Here is a 15,247-nt window from a genome sequence, read left to right as displayed (position 1 = left end):
ATTCTTGGCCTTGCAAGACAAACACAGCTTTTGGCACTGAAAACTGTTTTTTGGTTTACAGGCCAGAAAACCAGTGCACCCCTGTTTATTTTTCCATTATCAGTATATTCAGCAGCACTGAAAGGATTATAACACAGCTTCCTTCTCCAGTGACCCACTGGTGAGAAAACAAAATTCTGGTTAATAGGCAAAGAAAAACAAGAAAAGTCTGTCACTTCTAAGGTGCATTAACAGATTAGAAGGTATCTTCCTATACCTTCTCTCATGTCCACATTTTATATACAAGGAACCGTGGCTCACAGACAAGTTATTCAATTTGCTCCAGCTCACACAGCTAAATAAGTACCAAAGCCAAAGAGAAAGCCCAGAATTTGAACGCAAGTTTTCAGATTTCAATTCCCCCGCTCTTTTTAACTGTATTGCAGCAACAATATGTTTAGATTTCTATACAGGTTTTATAAAATCAAGGGGGCAGTGGAAACACACACAATTAGAGGCAAGCCTGTGGTCTTGTGAGCTTATCATCTTAAAAGGGAGGCCAGCCGGGCGCAGTAGCTCATGCCTGTAATCCCAGCACTTTGGGAGGCCGAGGCAGGTGAATCACAAGGTCAAGAGATGGAGACCATCCTGGCTAACATGGTGAAAGCCCGTCTCTACCAAAAATACAAAAAATTAGCTGGGTGTACTGGTGCCCGCCAGTAGTCCTAGCTGCTCAGGAGGCTGAGGAAGGAGAATCGCTTGAACCCGGGAGGCAGAGGTTGCAGTGAGCCAAGATTGCACCACTGAACTCCAGCCTGGCGACAGAGCGAGACTCCGTCTCAAAAACAACAAAAAACAGCAACAACAACAACAACAACAACAAAAAAGGGAGGCCATGTCTTATTCATCATCACATTACCAGCAAGTGTCCAGTGCAGTTCCTAGCCCATGGTAAGCACCAAAGGTTTGCTGAATGAATGAGGGAATATTTTATTGTTCAATAAGGAATATGGGCCAGGCGCGGTGGCTCACGCCTGTAATCCCAGTACACTGGGAGGCCGAGGCAGGCAGATCACCTGAGGTCAGGAGTTCAAAGACCAGGCCTGGCCAACATGGTGAAACCCCATCTCTACTAAAAATACAAAAATTAGCTAGGCATGGTGGCAGGTGCCTATAATCCCAGCTGCTTGGGAGGCTGAGGCAGGAGAATCGCCTGAACCCAGGAGGCAGAGGTTGCAGTGAGTCAAGATTGCACCACTGAAATCCAGCCTAGGTGACAGAGCAAGATTCCGTCTCAAAAAAAAAAAAAAAAAGAATGTGACCTATCAGGAAAATTTACCAAACTGGAGTTCTCTGTGTAGATGGGAGAATTGACAAGAGAATACCTACTATGGAGTTCAAGAAGTCAGACTAGAAAACCACTAAAATAATTTCTAACTCATAGTGTCTGAAAACTAATCTCATTAGAGATTAGTGTCTAATGGAAGAACTGATTTTTAGCAATATTGAAAACGAGTATATGTTTGCTCATATAGTCAACTATCAATTATCTCCATAGAGGTGTTCTGTGCCTTTTGAAAATACTGCTGGCCCACAGGTTTTAACCCTGACTTCTTCATCCCAAGGAAAGCCTTTACTATAATTCACCTCATGGGAAGTTTTTGGCTTTTTAAGACCCTATTTCTTAATTCTAGAATAACAAAAAGACAGGGCATAATGATTTGGGGAGAAAAAAGGAACAAGACTTCCTGTTTTTACCTAAAAATGTTAGGGAAGTAAAGGAAGCTGATCAAAAATACAGTTACTGACTACATATTGATAAATACTGTAGGTTTCACTGCATGCCAACTCCAACCCCAAATGCATGGGTTACAAACTGAGATGAAAAAATAGGTATCTGTACATGCATTCAAAATGAAAACAGAGCCATTTTGCAGTAATCTAGCAACTCCTCTAATGACATCCAAGTTTAGAAATTCCAAGTGTTCAACTTCTTTATTGCTTCTGATATAGTAAAGCCTGCTGGACAAGGCTACACTTTGCAAACCTGAATTAGAAGAGCATGCAGAGTCTGAGGCCAGGCCATCTCAGTGACCAAAGGGAGTGAAGTAACTGGTTCACTTCCCATGAATATAAAAGGTGCCATGAGATAAAGGACAAGAGTTAGCTTGGGGTTCTTGTCCCAGCTTCACCAATACTTGCAGTGTGATCTTGCACCTGTCTCACAACTGCCTTAGGGTTTCGATTTCCTCCTCCATAAATTGAGAAAGTAAGTTGGATATGGTAAAGTCAAAGGTCCCACTCAGGAATGATTTCTTAAGAAAATGGAAGATTTCAATAAGTAAATGTAACTTATCTAAAGCCAAGTTTATACATAAAAAATTTTTAATTTAGGGCTTTTTCATTACAGACTACCCTAAAATGTTTTAAAACCTGAAATTAAGACTTAAAAGTAGATTCTAAGAATAAATCCAAGTCTTTGTGCACAAAGCCTTATAAAATTGTACCCATCTTAAACCTGTTGTAAGAAGATATACATGGCTGGGCGCAGTGGCTCATGCCTGTCAATCCCAGCACTTTGGGAGGCCGAGGCAGGCAGATCACCTGAGGTTGGGAGTTCAAGACCAGCCTGACCAACATGGAGAAACCCCGTCTCTACTAAAAACACAAAAAAATTAGCCTGGCATGGTGGCATGCACCTGTAATCCCAGTTACTCGGAAGGCTGAGGCAGGAGAATTGCTTGAACCTGGGAGGCAGGGATTGCGGTGAGCCAAGATCGCACCATTGCACTCCGGCCTGGGCAACGAGAGCAAAACTCTGTCTCAAAAAAAAACAAAAAAAGATGTACATGGCAGCATTAGTACCATCATATAAATGTTCTGAAGAAATTAATAAAACGGGAAAATGGCTGCAATTTATTATTAAATTTAAAAATCAAGGCTGGGTGCGTTGGCTCATATCTGTAATCCCAGCACTTTGGGAGGCCAAAGTGGGTGGATTGCTTGAGCCCAGGAGTTCAAGGCCAGCCTGGACAATATAGCAAGACCCCATCTCTACAAAAAAATACAAAAAATTAGCCAGGCATGGTGGTGCACACCTGCAGTCCCAGCTACTTAGGAGGCTAAGGTGGGAGGATCACTTGAGCCCAGGAGACAGAGGTTGCAGTAAGCCAAGATCGCACCACTGCATTACAGCCTGGGTGACAGAGTGAGACCCTGTCTCAAAAAGAAAAAAAAACATAATGGAGAAAAGCTTATAGAGTAAGTATGTGAAGAAAAAAAATACTTAGCTACAGCTATACAATATGTTCACGTTTTAAGCTAAGTATTACTTCAAATGTGTCAGAAAGTTAAAAAAACTTTATAAAGTAAAAAAGTTACAGTAAGCTGAGATTATCGAAGAAATAAAAATTTTTAAAACAAATTTAGTGTAGCCTAAGTGTACAGTGTTTATAAGGTCTACAGTAGTACACAGTAATATCGTAGGCCTTCACATTCACTCACCACTCATTCACTGACTCACTCAGCAGCTTCCAGTCCTGTAAGGCCCATTCATGCTAAGTGCCTTATATAAGTGTACCACCTTTTTTTTTTTTTTTTTTTTTTTTTTTGAGAGAGTCTTGCTCTGTTGTCCAGGATGGAGTGCAGTGGTGCGATCTCGGCTCACTGCAATCTCTGCCTCCTGGGTTCAAGCGACTTTCCTGCCTCAGCCTCCTGAGTAGCTGCGATTACAGGCATGTGCCACTATACCCGCCTAATTTTTGTATTTTTAAGTAGAAATGGGGTCTCACCATGTTGGCAAGGCTGGTCTTGAACTTACGACCTCAGGTGGTTTGCCCGCCTCAGCCGCCCAAAGTGCTGGGATTACAGGCATGAGCCACCATGCCCAGCCCATTTTTTATCTTTTATACTGTATTTTTATTATACTTTTTCTATGTTTAGATACACAAATACCTGCCAAGCACGGTAGCTCATGCCTGTAATCTCAGCATTTTGAGAGGCTAAGGCAGGAGTATCCTCTGAGCCCAGGAGTTCAAGACCACTTGGACAACATGGGGAGACCTTGTCTCTTTTTTAAAAATTTTAAAAATCGGCCAGGCATGGTGGCATACATCTATAGCCCCAGCTACTCAGGAGGCTAAGGTGGGAGGATCACTTGAGTCCAAAAGTTTGAGGCTGCAGTGAGGCTGCCACTGCACTCCAGCCTGGGCAACAGAGCAAGACCCTGGCTCTAAAAATAATTAAATTAAAAAAAATTTTAAAAACACTATCTAAAAAAAAGAAAAAGATACTTGAGGAAAAAAATTTGCAATGCACATGAGAGGTCAAAATTTAACATTCAAACTTATTAAAAAGTTCTTTTAAGTAATAATTTAACTTCTAAAACCAAAATAGAGATATAGGCAACAAACATGAAAAATTCACAGAAGAGGACATTCAAATGTCCAAAACATACTAGGGAGAAATAAAGAGTAACAAATAATAAATGAAGTAAGTTTAAACTAAAATACCAATAAAATACCACCTCTCACAGTCAGATTGATGAATGCACCACAAAGCACTCTCACATGCTCCTTATGAAATAAAAATCTGACCACAAGGCAGGGTAAAGTAGTGCATGCCTATAATCCCAGCCACTCAGGGATTTTTTAATTACAAAATTTCATCACATTTTCCTGGAGGGCAATTTAACAATATTTATCGTGAGCTTTTAAAAGTTAATCGTGTAATATTATGAACTACTGAGACATGAAACATAGATGAATCCCAAAAACATAACGCTTAGGGAAAGAAGTCTTATATAAAAGTACATACACTGGGCGTGGTAGCTCACACCTGTAATCCCAACACTTTGGGAAGCTGAGGCAGGAGGACTGCTTGAGCCCAGGAGTTTGAGACCAGCCTGAGCAATATAATGAGACCCTGTCTCTACAAAAAAAATTTTTTTAATTAGCCAGGAGTGGTGGTGCGTACCTGTAGTCCCAGCTACCCAGGAGGTTGAGGTGGGAGGAGGATCAGTTGAGCCAGGGAAGTCAAGGCTGCAGTTAACTATGATCACAGCACTGCACTCCAGTCTAGGCAACAGAGGGAGACCCTGCCTCAGAAAAAAAAAAAAAGGTACATACTGTGTAACTCCACTTATATTAAAATTAGAACAGGCAAAACTAATCTGTGGTAAGAAAAAAATCAGAAGGGTGGTTGCAAGAAGAGATTGTCCAATAAGGAGCATAATGAAACTTTCTGGAATGAAAATAATGTTCTATAACTTCATAGAGGTTTGGATTACGCAGATATATGTATGCGTTTGTCAAAACTCAGCAAATATACACTAAATATTTGTGCATTTCACTGTGTGTAAATGTTGCTTCAAAAGGAAAAAACCTAAGCAAATATCAAATTCATGCTGAAATATTTAAGGGGAAGTATAGTATACTAACATTTACAATTGCTTTTTCTCTCTTTTTTTTTTTTGAGACAGAGTTTCGCCCTTGTTGCCCAGGCTGGAGTGCAATGGTGTGATCTCAGCTCACTGCAGCCTCTGCCTCCTGGGTTCAAGCGATTCTCCTGCCTCAGCCTCTAGTAGCTAGGATTATAGGCACCTGCCACCATGCCCAGCTAATTTTTTGTATTTTTAGTAGAGACAGGGTTTCACCATGTTGGTCAGGTCTTGAACTCCTGACCTCAGGTGATCCACCTGCCTCAGCCTCCCAAAGTGCTGGGATTACAGGCGTGAGCCACCGCTCCCGTCCTCACTTGCAATTACTTTAAAATATATCAAAGAAAAAGGAGTATGATAGGTAGAAGAATGGATACATGGATATATGTGATAAAGCAAGTACAGTAAAATGCTAATGTAAAATACAGGCATTGGGTACACAGGGGTACCCTGTGAAAAATCCTTCAAGATTGCTGTATTTTGAGATTTTTCATAAAATGTTAAAAATACTAAAAAACAGTAAACAGCCACAAGGCAGCCTTCTGGAATGCTGGAAATGTTCTGTCTTGATTTGGCTGGTGATTACATGGGAGCATGAGGAAAATTCATCAAGCTGTACACTTAGGGATTTTGTACACCTTGGCTGATTACATTTATAACTCAATAAAAAGTGTTTTTAATACAGCAATCAGAATAGGACTTTAAAGTGAGTGTAATTAATATCCTCAAAGAGATAAGGAAGTATGCTGCAACCATAAAACATGAATAAGCAATTAAGAAAAAAGAGCAAACCATAGACTGAAGACAAAAACTCAAATTTAAAAACTCAGTGGGCTAAAGAGCTGAGTAGACCTTGAGGAATGAATTCGTGACTTAAAATATTGAGCTAAAAAATCCTCCCAGAAGATAGCACAGAGAGGGGAAGTAAAAGAAAAGTGAAGAGACACGGAGGACAGATCAAGATGCGTCTCAATCTATCTTTTGGAGGGAGCTGCAGAAGAGAAAATGAGAAAACTTAAGGGGACAACATTTAAATAAATAATAGTTAAATGTTTCCTAGAACTAAAAAACAAAACTGCTTAAAAAATATTTTTGTTTTTTGCTTTTTAAGAGACAGGGTCTCACTCTGTCACCCAGGTTGGAGTGCAGTGGCACAATCATAGCTCACTGCAACCTCAAACTCCCAGCCTCAAGCAATCCTCCCACCTCAGTCTAAGTAGCTGGGATTACAGGTGTGCACCACCATGCCCAGCTAATTTATTTATTATTATTTTTTTTTATAGAGAATGGGGGTCTTACTATGTTTCCCAAGCTGTTCTCAAACTCCTGGCCTCACGTGATTCTCCCATCTTGTCCTCCCAAAAGTGCTGGGATTTACAGGCATGAGCCACTACGCCCAGCCCAAAAAAGTTTTTAATTATAGTTATTTAAAGCAATCTACATGGATGGAAGGAAACACACCACCATTTTAAGAGACATTATCTCCTGACTGTGCAATTTAAGTGATTGTACAATTTAAGTGATCCTTGTTCTTTTTTTTTTTTTTTTTTTTTTTGAGATGGAGTCTCGCTCTGTCGCCCAGGCTGGACTGCAGTGGCGCGATTTCGGCTCACTACAAACTCTGCCTCCTGGGTTCATGCCATTCTCCTGCCTCAGCCTCCCAAGTAGCTGGGACTACAGGCACCTGCCACCACACCCGGCTAATTTTTTGTATTTTTAGAAGAGACGGGGTTTCACCGTGTTAGCCAGGATGGTCTTGATCTCCTGACCTTGTGATCCGCCCGCCTTGGCCTCCCAAAGTGCTGGGATTACAGGCATGAGCCACCACGCCCAGCCGATCCTTGTTCTTTTCTATATGTTTCAAGTTTTCTACAATGAATATGACTTTTACAATCAGGAAAAGTAAAAGTTTATTTTTATAAGATGAACTCAGAACCAAAAGACAAGAAAGGTTTTTTAAAAACTCCCTAAATTCGCTTTCCTGTGACTTCTCCCTTATGCTATTACAGTGAACCTGTTTCTGTAAGTGGTCACCACAAACTTGAACAAGTCATTCAATCTCTGAATTTCTGCTTCTTTAGGCCTTAAACAGGGAAAATAAAATCCCTCCTTTCCACCTCCCCATGGTTTGGGGAACATCAAATGAGATGAGGTACAAAAATAGCATTTGGTAAACCATAAAGCACTGTACAAATTGTGGCATGTTATCACAGTCCTTCTAAGCTGGTAAACCCCAACCTCTGAGTCACCCTCCACTCTCCGCCCTTTCACTCACCAAGTCCAATTTGTCACTAGTCAGTTTTTCCTTCTCTCATTCCCTCCTCTCCCAAACTACTGCACTAAGTTAGTCATACCTGGTCATACCTTGTGCCTGAACCACTGCAATAGGTCCTGCATAGTGCCCCACCTCTAGCTGTCCCTCACCCCACCTACTGCAATTTTTGCCTGAAACCTAATCTTCATGAAACATGTTTATCCTTTGACTACCCCGCTGAAAATGAAATGCCTTTGGGAGTTCTCTGAGGTTTATAGGATGGACTTCAAACTCCTCAACCTGGCTTTTAGACCTCCCGTCCTATCTCTGGTCAGCCTCCTCATAATTGGAACATGCACCCAACCCCCGTACCCTTCCTTCCCCTTATCCAGAGATATATTTTCCACTTATCCACATCCTCCCAGTCTTTTAAGCCCAGGTCAAACCTCTCCCTCCTTTCCTCTTTCTATACCTTATGACCAATCCAGACCAAGCTCTTGCCTCCACAATCCATCCCCCAAGGTGCCATCATCACTTCCAGGTCAGAGACCTACCCCACCTTTCCAGAAAGGACTAATTGTTCCCTGAGAGCAGGGCCTGTTATCCTCCTACAGCCTCTATATTAGGCACTCAAATTAACATGCTAAACATTTAAGTCCTTAAAATAAACTTTATTTGCCTGAACTGATTTTATGGTAAGTTTTAACACCTATGTGTGTATTACTATATATTGTTTAGCTATTAATCTTTTTTTTGTTGTTAGAGATGGGGTCTTGCTATGTTGTCCAGGCTGATCTCAAACTCCTGGCCTCAAGTAATCCTCCTGCCTCGGCCTCCCAAAGTGCTGGGATTACAGGTGTGAGCCACCACTCCCAGCCTATCAATCTTTAAATAAAAAGAATCATAACTTACAGATTTTTTGATGGCTTCTTCTTTCTCTCCACTGAGATTTATCAAAGTTAATATCTAAAACTATAATCCATTTTTCACAGCTGTGAAGTATTCCTTTCTTTGAACATATCATAACTTTTTTATCCATTATGTTGTTAATGGACATTTGGGTTTTACAGGAAAGTTTGGAATTAAAAGTAATGCTGCTCTGAAAATTCTCGTACATGTTTCCAGTAAAGATATATAAGAGTTTCTAGAAGAGAAGCTGCTATGTCACAGGGTCACATATTCAACTCTACCTGGCAATGACAATGGGTTTTTCCCTAGTAGTTGAACTAATTTACACCTCTACTTAATGTTGAGCAGTTCCTCAAAATACTGCCAACCTTTTAAATGTCTGCCAATTTGATGAGTATAAAATGTTATTTCATTGTGGGTTTAATTTGCATTTCCCCAATGAGGTTGAAAACCTTTTCATATAGTTATTAGCTATTTGGTTTCCTCTTAGTGCTGTGCCTGTCCCAACCTTTTCCAATTTTTCAACTGGGCGGTTGTTTTCTTATTGACTTTTAGGACCTCTCTGAATACTAATCCTTTATTGGTACTATGCATTGCAAATGTCTTCTTCCAGTCTGCCGCTTTCCTTTTCACTCTCTTTTGATGAGAAGTTCTTTATTTTAACGTAGTTGAATTTATCAACCATTTCCTTTATGTAAATGCCTTGTGTAACTTGCTTAATCAGTCCTTCCCTACCCAGAGGTCATAATGTTTATATTTCCTTTTAATAAAAAAGTATTAAAATAAAAACTTTAAAAAGACAGCAATACAGTAAATGAACAACAAGCACACGGAAAAAGTACTCAAAATCATCAGCCATCAAGGAAATACAAATCAAAACCACAATGAGATACCACTACACACCCACCAGAATGGCTAAAATTAAAATACTGATTAACACCAAATGATGGGAAGGATGTAGAGCAACTGAACTTTTATTATACATTGTTGGCATGAGTGTAATATTGGATAACTATTTTGGGAAAAGGTCAAGCAGTTTCTTAAAAAGCTACACATATACCTATCCTATGACCCAGCAATTTCACCTCTTGGTATTTAACCAAGGGGAATGAAAGCACATGTCCACAAAATAATGTGTACTAGAATATTCATAGTAGCTTTAGTCATAATAGCCAAAAATTAGAAACAGCCCTAGTATCCAATAACAAAAGAATAGATAAGTGAACTGTGGTTTCTTCATGTAACAGACTACTTTAATTAGAAAAAAGAACAAACTACTGACTCGTGCAGCATAGAAGAATCTCAAAAACATTATGCTGAGTGAAATAAGCCTTATAAAAAAAGAATAGACTGTAAGGTTCTATTTACATGAAATCTAGAATAGGCAAAAATAATTTATAATGGAAAAAATTCAGAACAGTGGTTGCTGGTGGCTGGGGGTAAGAATGGAAAGGGAGCACAATAGAACTTTTGGGGGTGATTATAATATTGTGTAATTCTGTATCTTGACAGAGATTCATAGTACATAGACATATACATTTGTCATATCTCACAAATGGTACACATAAAATTTACACATTTTACTTTATGGCATTTCACATTTAAAAATGTAAACTTTGAATTTATTTAATTTTGAATTAATTTTTTTTTGAGATGAGGTCTTGCTATATTGCCCAGGCTGGTCTCGAACACCTGGGCTCGAGCAATCCTTCTGCCTCAGCTCCTGAGTAGATGGGACTACAGGTGTGTGTTACCATGCCCAAAGTTCAAATTTTGCGCTCTAGTACTTGATATACATACTGCAATATTTAGGGGTTGAGTATACTGATGTGTGGAACTTACTTTGAAATGAATCCAAAAATAAAATGGGTTGATGGATGGATAAAGGAGTGGACAGATATAAGACAAATATAGAAAACTGTTAACTGCAGAATCCAGATGGCAGGCATATGAGTGCATAATTCTCTCAACTTTGCTCTATGAAAATTTTCACAAAATATTGGAGAAAAACTATATTAAAAATGAGATCTGCGTTAAAAAATAGATATATTTGAACCAAGTTTGCCTTTGAGAAAGGTTCTCATAAGAAAATGGTCAATCCTTACATGCGATAGTGTCTTGGAGTTTACAAAACACTTTCACACAGATTATTTTTAGTTATCCTTACCAGAACCCAGGTATTCTAGCTTCACTCTGTACTTGAGAAAACTCAGGATCAGGAGTTGCCAAGTATCACATAGCCAAAGCCTGATGGAGCTGGACCCAAAACACACATCTTCTGGCTCCTCCTCCTATAGTCTTTTAACACCTCACTAGGGAGCTGCCATCAACACCAAACCTTTGCAGACAACCTGGGAACTGCTGATGTGCCACCAGCGCTTTGGGTTATCCTATAAGCAGAGTAAGAGGAAGTGAAGCAGCTCCTGTACTCCCTAATAGGACATGAAAGGGAGAAGGCAAGCAGTGAAAGAGGATGAATTCAAAACAGCAAAGGTCTATTTCCAACCAATACAGAATAAAAGCACTGGCAAAGCCCCCCATCCCAAATTATTGGAGGTCACCCTCAAAGTTCTGGGAAATCTGCAACATCCTTCCTGTGTGGATGGGCAAACTACACATGGTGCCTGTAGCTAAGACATGCAATATAAACTTGTCAAAACAGCTCTCTGACATGATACTCTACCACTCTTTACCACACAGAGCAGAACAAAAGTAGAACAGAAGGAGGGGACTCAGGAACATTGCTTAACCCTAACTCAGACAAAATTGGAGGCAAAAGCTTTACTAATCACCCCACAGATTAATCACTGGCTTAAGGGTATTTTAGCTTTCTGTTAAAACACAGAATACACCCCAACAACTTTTGTTAAATCTAAACAAGGTGAGATAGACTCGTGGAACATGAATAAAAGCCCTTTCAGCCTTAGAGACTGGTGTACTTATCCAAATATTTACCAAGTGTGCCAAGCACTTTGGGAACTATAAGGAAACTAGGACACAGTGCTTGCCCTCAAGCAGCATATAATCCAGCAGAAGGCTGAAGACAGAAATCCTAGGCTCACACGGATACAGGAGCAGGTCCCAAGAGCAGAGAAAAGAGTGCAAGCCAGCCAAGGGCTCAAGGAAGCTTTCAGCTGGGCCTTGACTAACTCCTGAGAAGATAGGTACATGCAGCACTGGTGGGGGAACAGCACTCTAGGCAAAGGGCAATGGAAAGAACCAGCTCCTGGGGAACTCTTGGTAGGGCAGGCTGCCTGAAACCTGAGCAGGAGAAAGGGGAAAGGAAAAAAACTCCCAAGGGATGCCCTCCCAACTCATTTCAGACAGCAAAGAGGGCAGATTCAGAGGGCGTCACAAAATATCTAGCTTCAGGAGTTAACTGGCACAGGGCTGAAGATGACTTCAACTTCCTCAAACACAGGAACCTAAGGTAGAGCTGTAACCAACTTCCACAGTAAGTCGAAACTTAACAAAATCCTGATAATGCAGATTCAAGATGCCTGCTTAAAACCCAGTTGTCCTGTGAAATCTGTAGCTTAGCAGAAGACCAAAGAATGGGAAATGCAATGAACATAGCTAGTTAACAGAGAGCAACAACCTAACAGGTGAGAGCCAGGACCAGTGGATTTGAATCTCAGCTTAAATGTATGACCTCGGACAAGTTTCTAACCTCTGGTGTCTTATCTGCTAAAGGGAAATGATACCTGCCACCTCACAGGGTTGAAAGGATTAAATGAGATAACATCTTTAAAGCATCTAACATGGTGCTTGCAACACAGAGGGCATCCAAGAAATGGTGGCTATTATTAATATGAATAGTTTGCACTCTAAGAACTGCAGAATCCATCACCTCCTACTGCCTCAGTGTACTGAGAAACCAGGATGAAGCCACTAAGCTTGGGTAAGACTGAGGGCTTACTCATGTCCTAAGTACTTATCCCTCTGTTCTTTTTTTTAAAATTTTTTAAAATATTCTGTCCTTTAAGGTTACTCTGGGATGTCTGCCTCACCCTGTGTCCTCACATCATGAACCTTCTCCTATTTAAGAACCAATCCAAGGCCGGGCGCGGTGGCTCACACCTGTAATCCCAGCACTCTGGGAGGCCGAGGTGGGCAGATCACCTGAGATCAGGAGTTCAAAACCAGCCTGACCAATATGGAGAAACCCCATCTCTACTAAATATACAAAAAAAAAATTAGCCGGGCATGGTGGTGCAAGCCTGTAATCCCAGCTACTCGGGAGGCTAAGGCATGCGAATTGCTTCGACCCGGGAGGCGGAGGTTGTGGTAAGCTGAGATCGCACCATTACACTCCAGCCTGGGCAACAAGAGCAAAAAACTGTCTTTAAAAAAAAAAAAAAAAAAAAAAGGAACCAATCCAAATGGGTAAGCTATCCAAGGGAAAACCAGTCATAAGCCACTTCACAGGAAACATTTGCGCCAGAAGGGACCACAGGCCCTATCATAAACCTTACCTCAGCAAGGCGAGGGTCAAAGCTGGTCAGGGACAGGTTTCAGGTAACAGAATTGTGACAATGTCTATCTTAAGAATCACACTTAAAGTTATGGTGGCAATGACAGTAAGTACTAAAAAACATATGCTATAAATGCAAAGTATTTTATGTATGTAAAAGGAATTCAAGAAAATGAATAAAGAAATATCTTTCTATATACTGAAAAGCACAAGAACACAATGAGGGAACTCACAACCCCTGAGCTCTAGAGATAAACTGTAGTCACTTACTATGGCAGCAGAAAGTTTGGTCTCATTTTTCTCAACTACACTTTCAAAGGAAACTTTCAGTAATTCCATATAATCTAGCAAGGGTCAAAGACCCCTACTGGAGGAAAAAAATCAGTCAGGTCACACACAAAGAGAAAATTGCTTTAGTTTAGCCAAATGTAAAATTTTGAGTAATCAGTTGGGCACAGTAACCCACACCTGTAATCCCAGCACTTTGGTAGGCTGAGGCTGGGGGAATCACAGGAGCCCAGGAGTTTGAGCCTAGCCTGGGCAGCACAGCAAGATCTCGTCTCGACAAAAAAAAAGTTTAAAAAACTGGCCATGCATGGTGCGCACCTGTAGTCCCAGTTACTTGGGAGGCTGAGGTGGGGGGATCACTTGAGCCCAGGAGGTCAAGGCTGAGTGAGCCATGGTTGTGCCACTGCACTCCAGCCTGGGTAACAAAGCAAGACGCTGTCTTAAAAAAAAAAAAAAAGTTTTGACTAATCCACTTTGTAAACTAGGAGCAGGCAATAAATTTTATTCCATTCCAAATGTTACTTAAGTAACATTTGGAAACCACTAAACTTTAGTTGACTAAGATGGCAAGAGTGGCCAGTTTTGTGCAGGAAGGTGGGCTAGCAGAAAAAAGCAAGGAGGAAGATGGAAGTGGGACGGGAGGTGATGCAAAGTAAGAGAAAAGAGGTTGAAGGAAGTGAATGACAGAAGCAAAGGGAAACAGAAATGGACCAACTAGAGAATGTCTGAGATTTTAAGTGAGTGCTGACAGCAGTAACACTCGATTAGAGGTTGGCTTGCAGCTGTACTATTATCTATCACCTTAGCTGCACTAATCCTTACATCTTTTATTTATTATTTATTTTTGAGATAGGGTTTCTGTCTGTTGCCCAGGCTGGAGTGCAGGGACGCACTCTCGGCTCACAGCAACCTTGAACTTCTTACCTCAGGTGATCCTCCCACCTCAGCCTCCCAAGTATCTGGGACTAAAGGTGTGCGGTGCCATGCCCAGCTAATTTTTTTTATTTTTTGGTAGAGACAGAGTCTTGAGATGTTGTCCAGGCTGGTCTCAAACTCCTGGGCTCTAGCAATCCTTCTGCCTTGGCCTCCCAAAGTGCTGGGACTATAGACATGAGCCACCGCGCCCAGCCTCTTTAATCTTTCTTTACAGGGAAATCTACTCTGCTCAACAGGGTAGAAATATATTATTCCCTGGGTACAGTGCTCTGAAGAGCAATAACCAGAGATTTCCACAAAACCAAATCCAAACTTTACAGCCTCTACTCTGGTTAAAACTGGCTTCTATTTCTACTTACCTGGCCTGGGTGGATTTTCAACTTGACAGCCTGGTTCACAAAATTCTCTAATTCAACATACGTTTACGGAAGGCCTACTGTGCATCAGGCCTGGGGGATACAGCAGTGAACAAAACAAACATGACTGCCATCTCACAGAGTTGATTAGTTGGGGTGTGGGGAGCATCAATCATTAGCAGTGCAGTGGGTGTTTGCAAAAAGGAAGATAGGGGGTGAGCATAGGGTCTCTAACACTACATGCAAATCTTTCAAGGGCAACTCAAGTCCTGGCTAGGGAAAGTGGAAATGGGGTAAATCCAAAGACTGGCAAGAAAATATTAAAATGTTACAGTTAAGGCTCACTCACACTGATTAAAAATAAACAAAACTCTAAGTGTTCAAACTGAACACAGCATTCATTATCTGTAACCACATAAACTTAAACTCCCGAAAGGAATAAACAGACAGAGGGTATTTTTAGTAATACTTAAATAAGTTCATACAGACAACCCAGCCTAATATATTGCAAGATCTAAAGTACCTTTGGAATCATTAAGAAGCAAATTACATTCGTTGAGTTTTACTGTTAATTATATTTCTTGTACTTTGAATATTGGTATCTCACATAAAGA

At 40.7% G+C, this 15,247-nt stretch overlaps 1 protein-coding gene across 7 annotated transcripts in view, besides 3 other annotated features; it reads right to left on the bottom strand.

The window, feature by feature from the left end:
* The window catches only part of PDE8A (phosphodiesterase 8A), a 158,676-nt gene that overhangs the window by 138,729 nt on the left and 4,700 nt on the right, over positions 1-15,247 (bottom strand). The gene's annotated exons all lie outside the window — the stretch shown is intronic.
* Positions 7,522-7,816: a silencer, noted in NCBI's record as "tiled region #10787; K562 Repressive DNase unmatched - State 8:EnhW". NCBI's record gives its function as "represses a minimal TATA promoter and a strong SV40 promoter by Sharpr-MPRA in K562 cells {active_cell/tissue: K562}" and the evidence as "EXISTENCE:reporter gene assay evidence [ECO:0000049][PMID:27701403]".
* Positions 12,277-12,366: an enhancer, noted in NCBI's record as "active region_9997". NCBI's record gives its function as "activates an Ori minimal core promoter by ATAC-STARR-seq in GM12878 lymphoblastoid cells {active_cell/tissue: GM12878}" and the evidence as "EXISTENCE:reporter gene assay evidence [ECO:0000049][PMID:35858748]".
* Positions 12,397-12,486: an enhancer, noted in NCBI's record as "active region_9996". NCBI's record gives its function as "activates an Ori minimal core promoter by ATAC-STARR-seq in GM12878 lymphoblastoid cells {active_cell/tissue: GM12878}" and the evidence as "EXISTENCE:reporter gene assay evidence [ECO:0000049][PMID:35858748]".

The sequence above is a fragment of the Homo sapiens genome, chromosome 15 (genome assembly GCF_000001405.40).
Source record: "Homo sapiens chromosome 15, GRCh38.p14 Primary Assembly".
NCBI classification, from domain to species: domain Eukaryota; kingdom Metazoa; phylum Chordata; class Mammalia; order Primates; family Hominidae; genus Homo; species Homo sapiens.
Note: the sequence above shows the minus strand (reverse complement) of the source record. Positions and strands in the feature narration are given on the sequence as shown.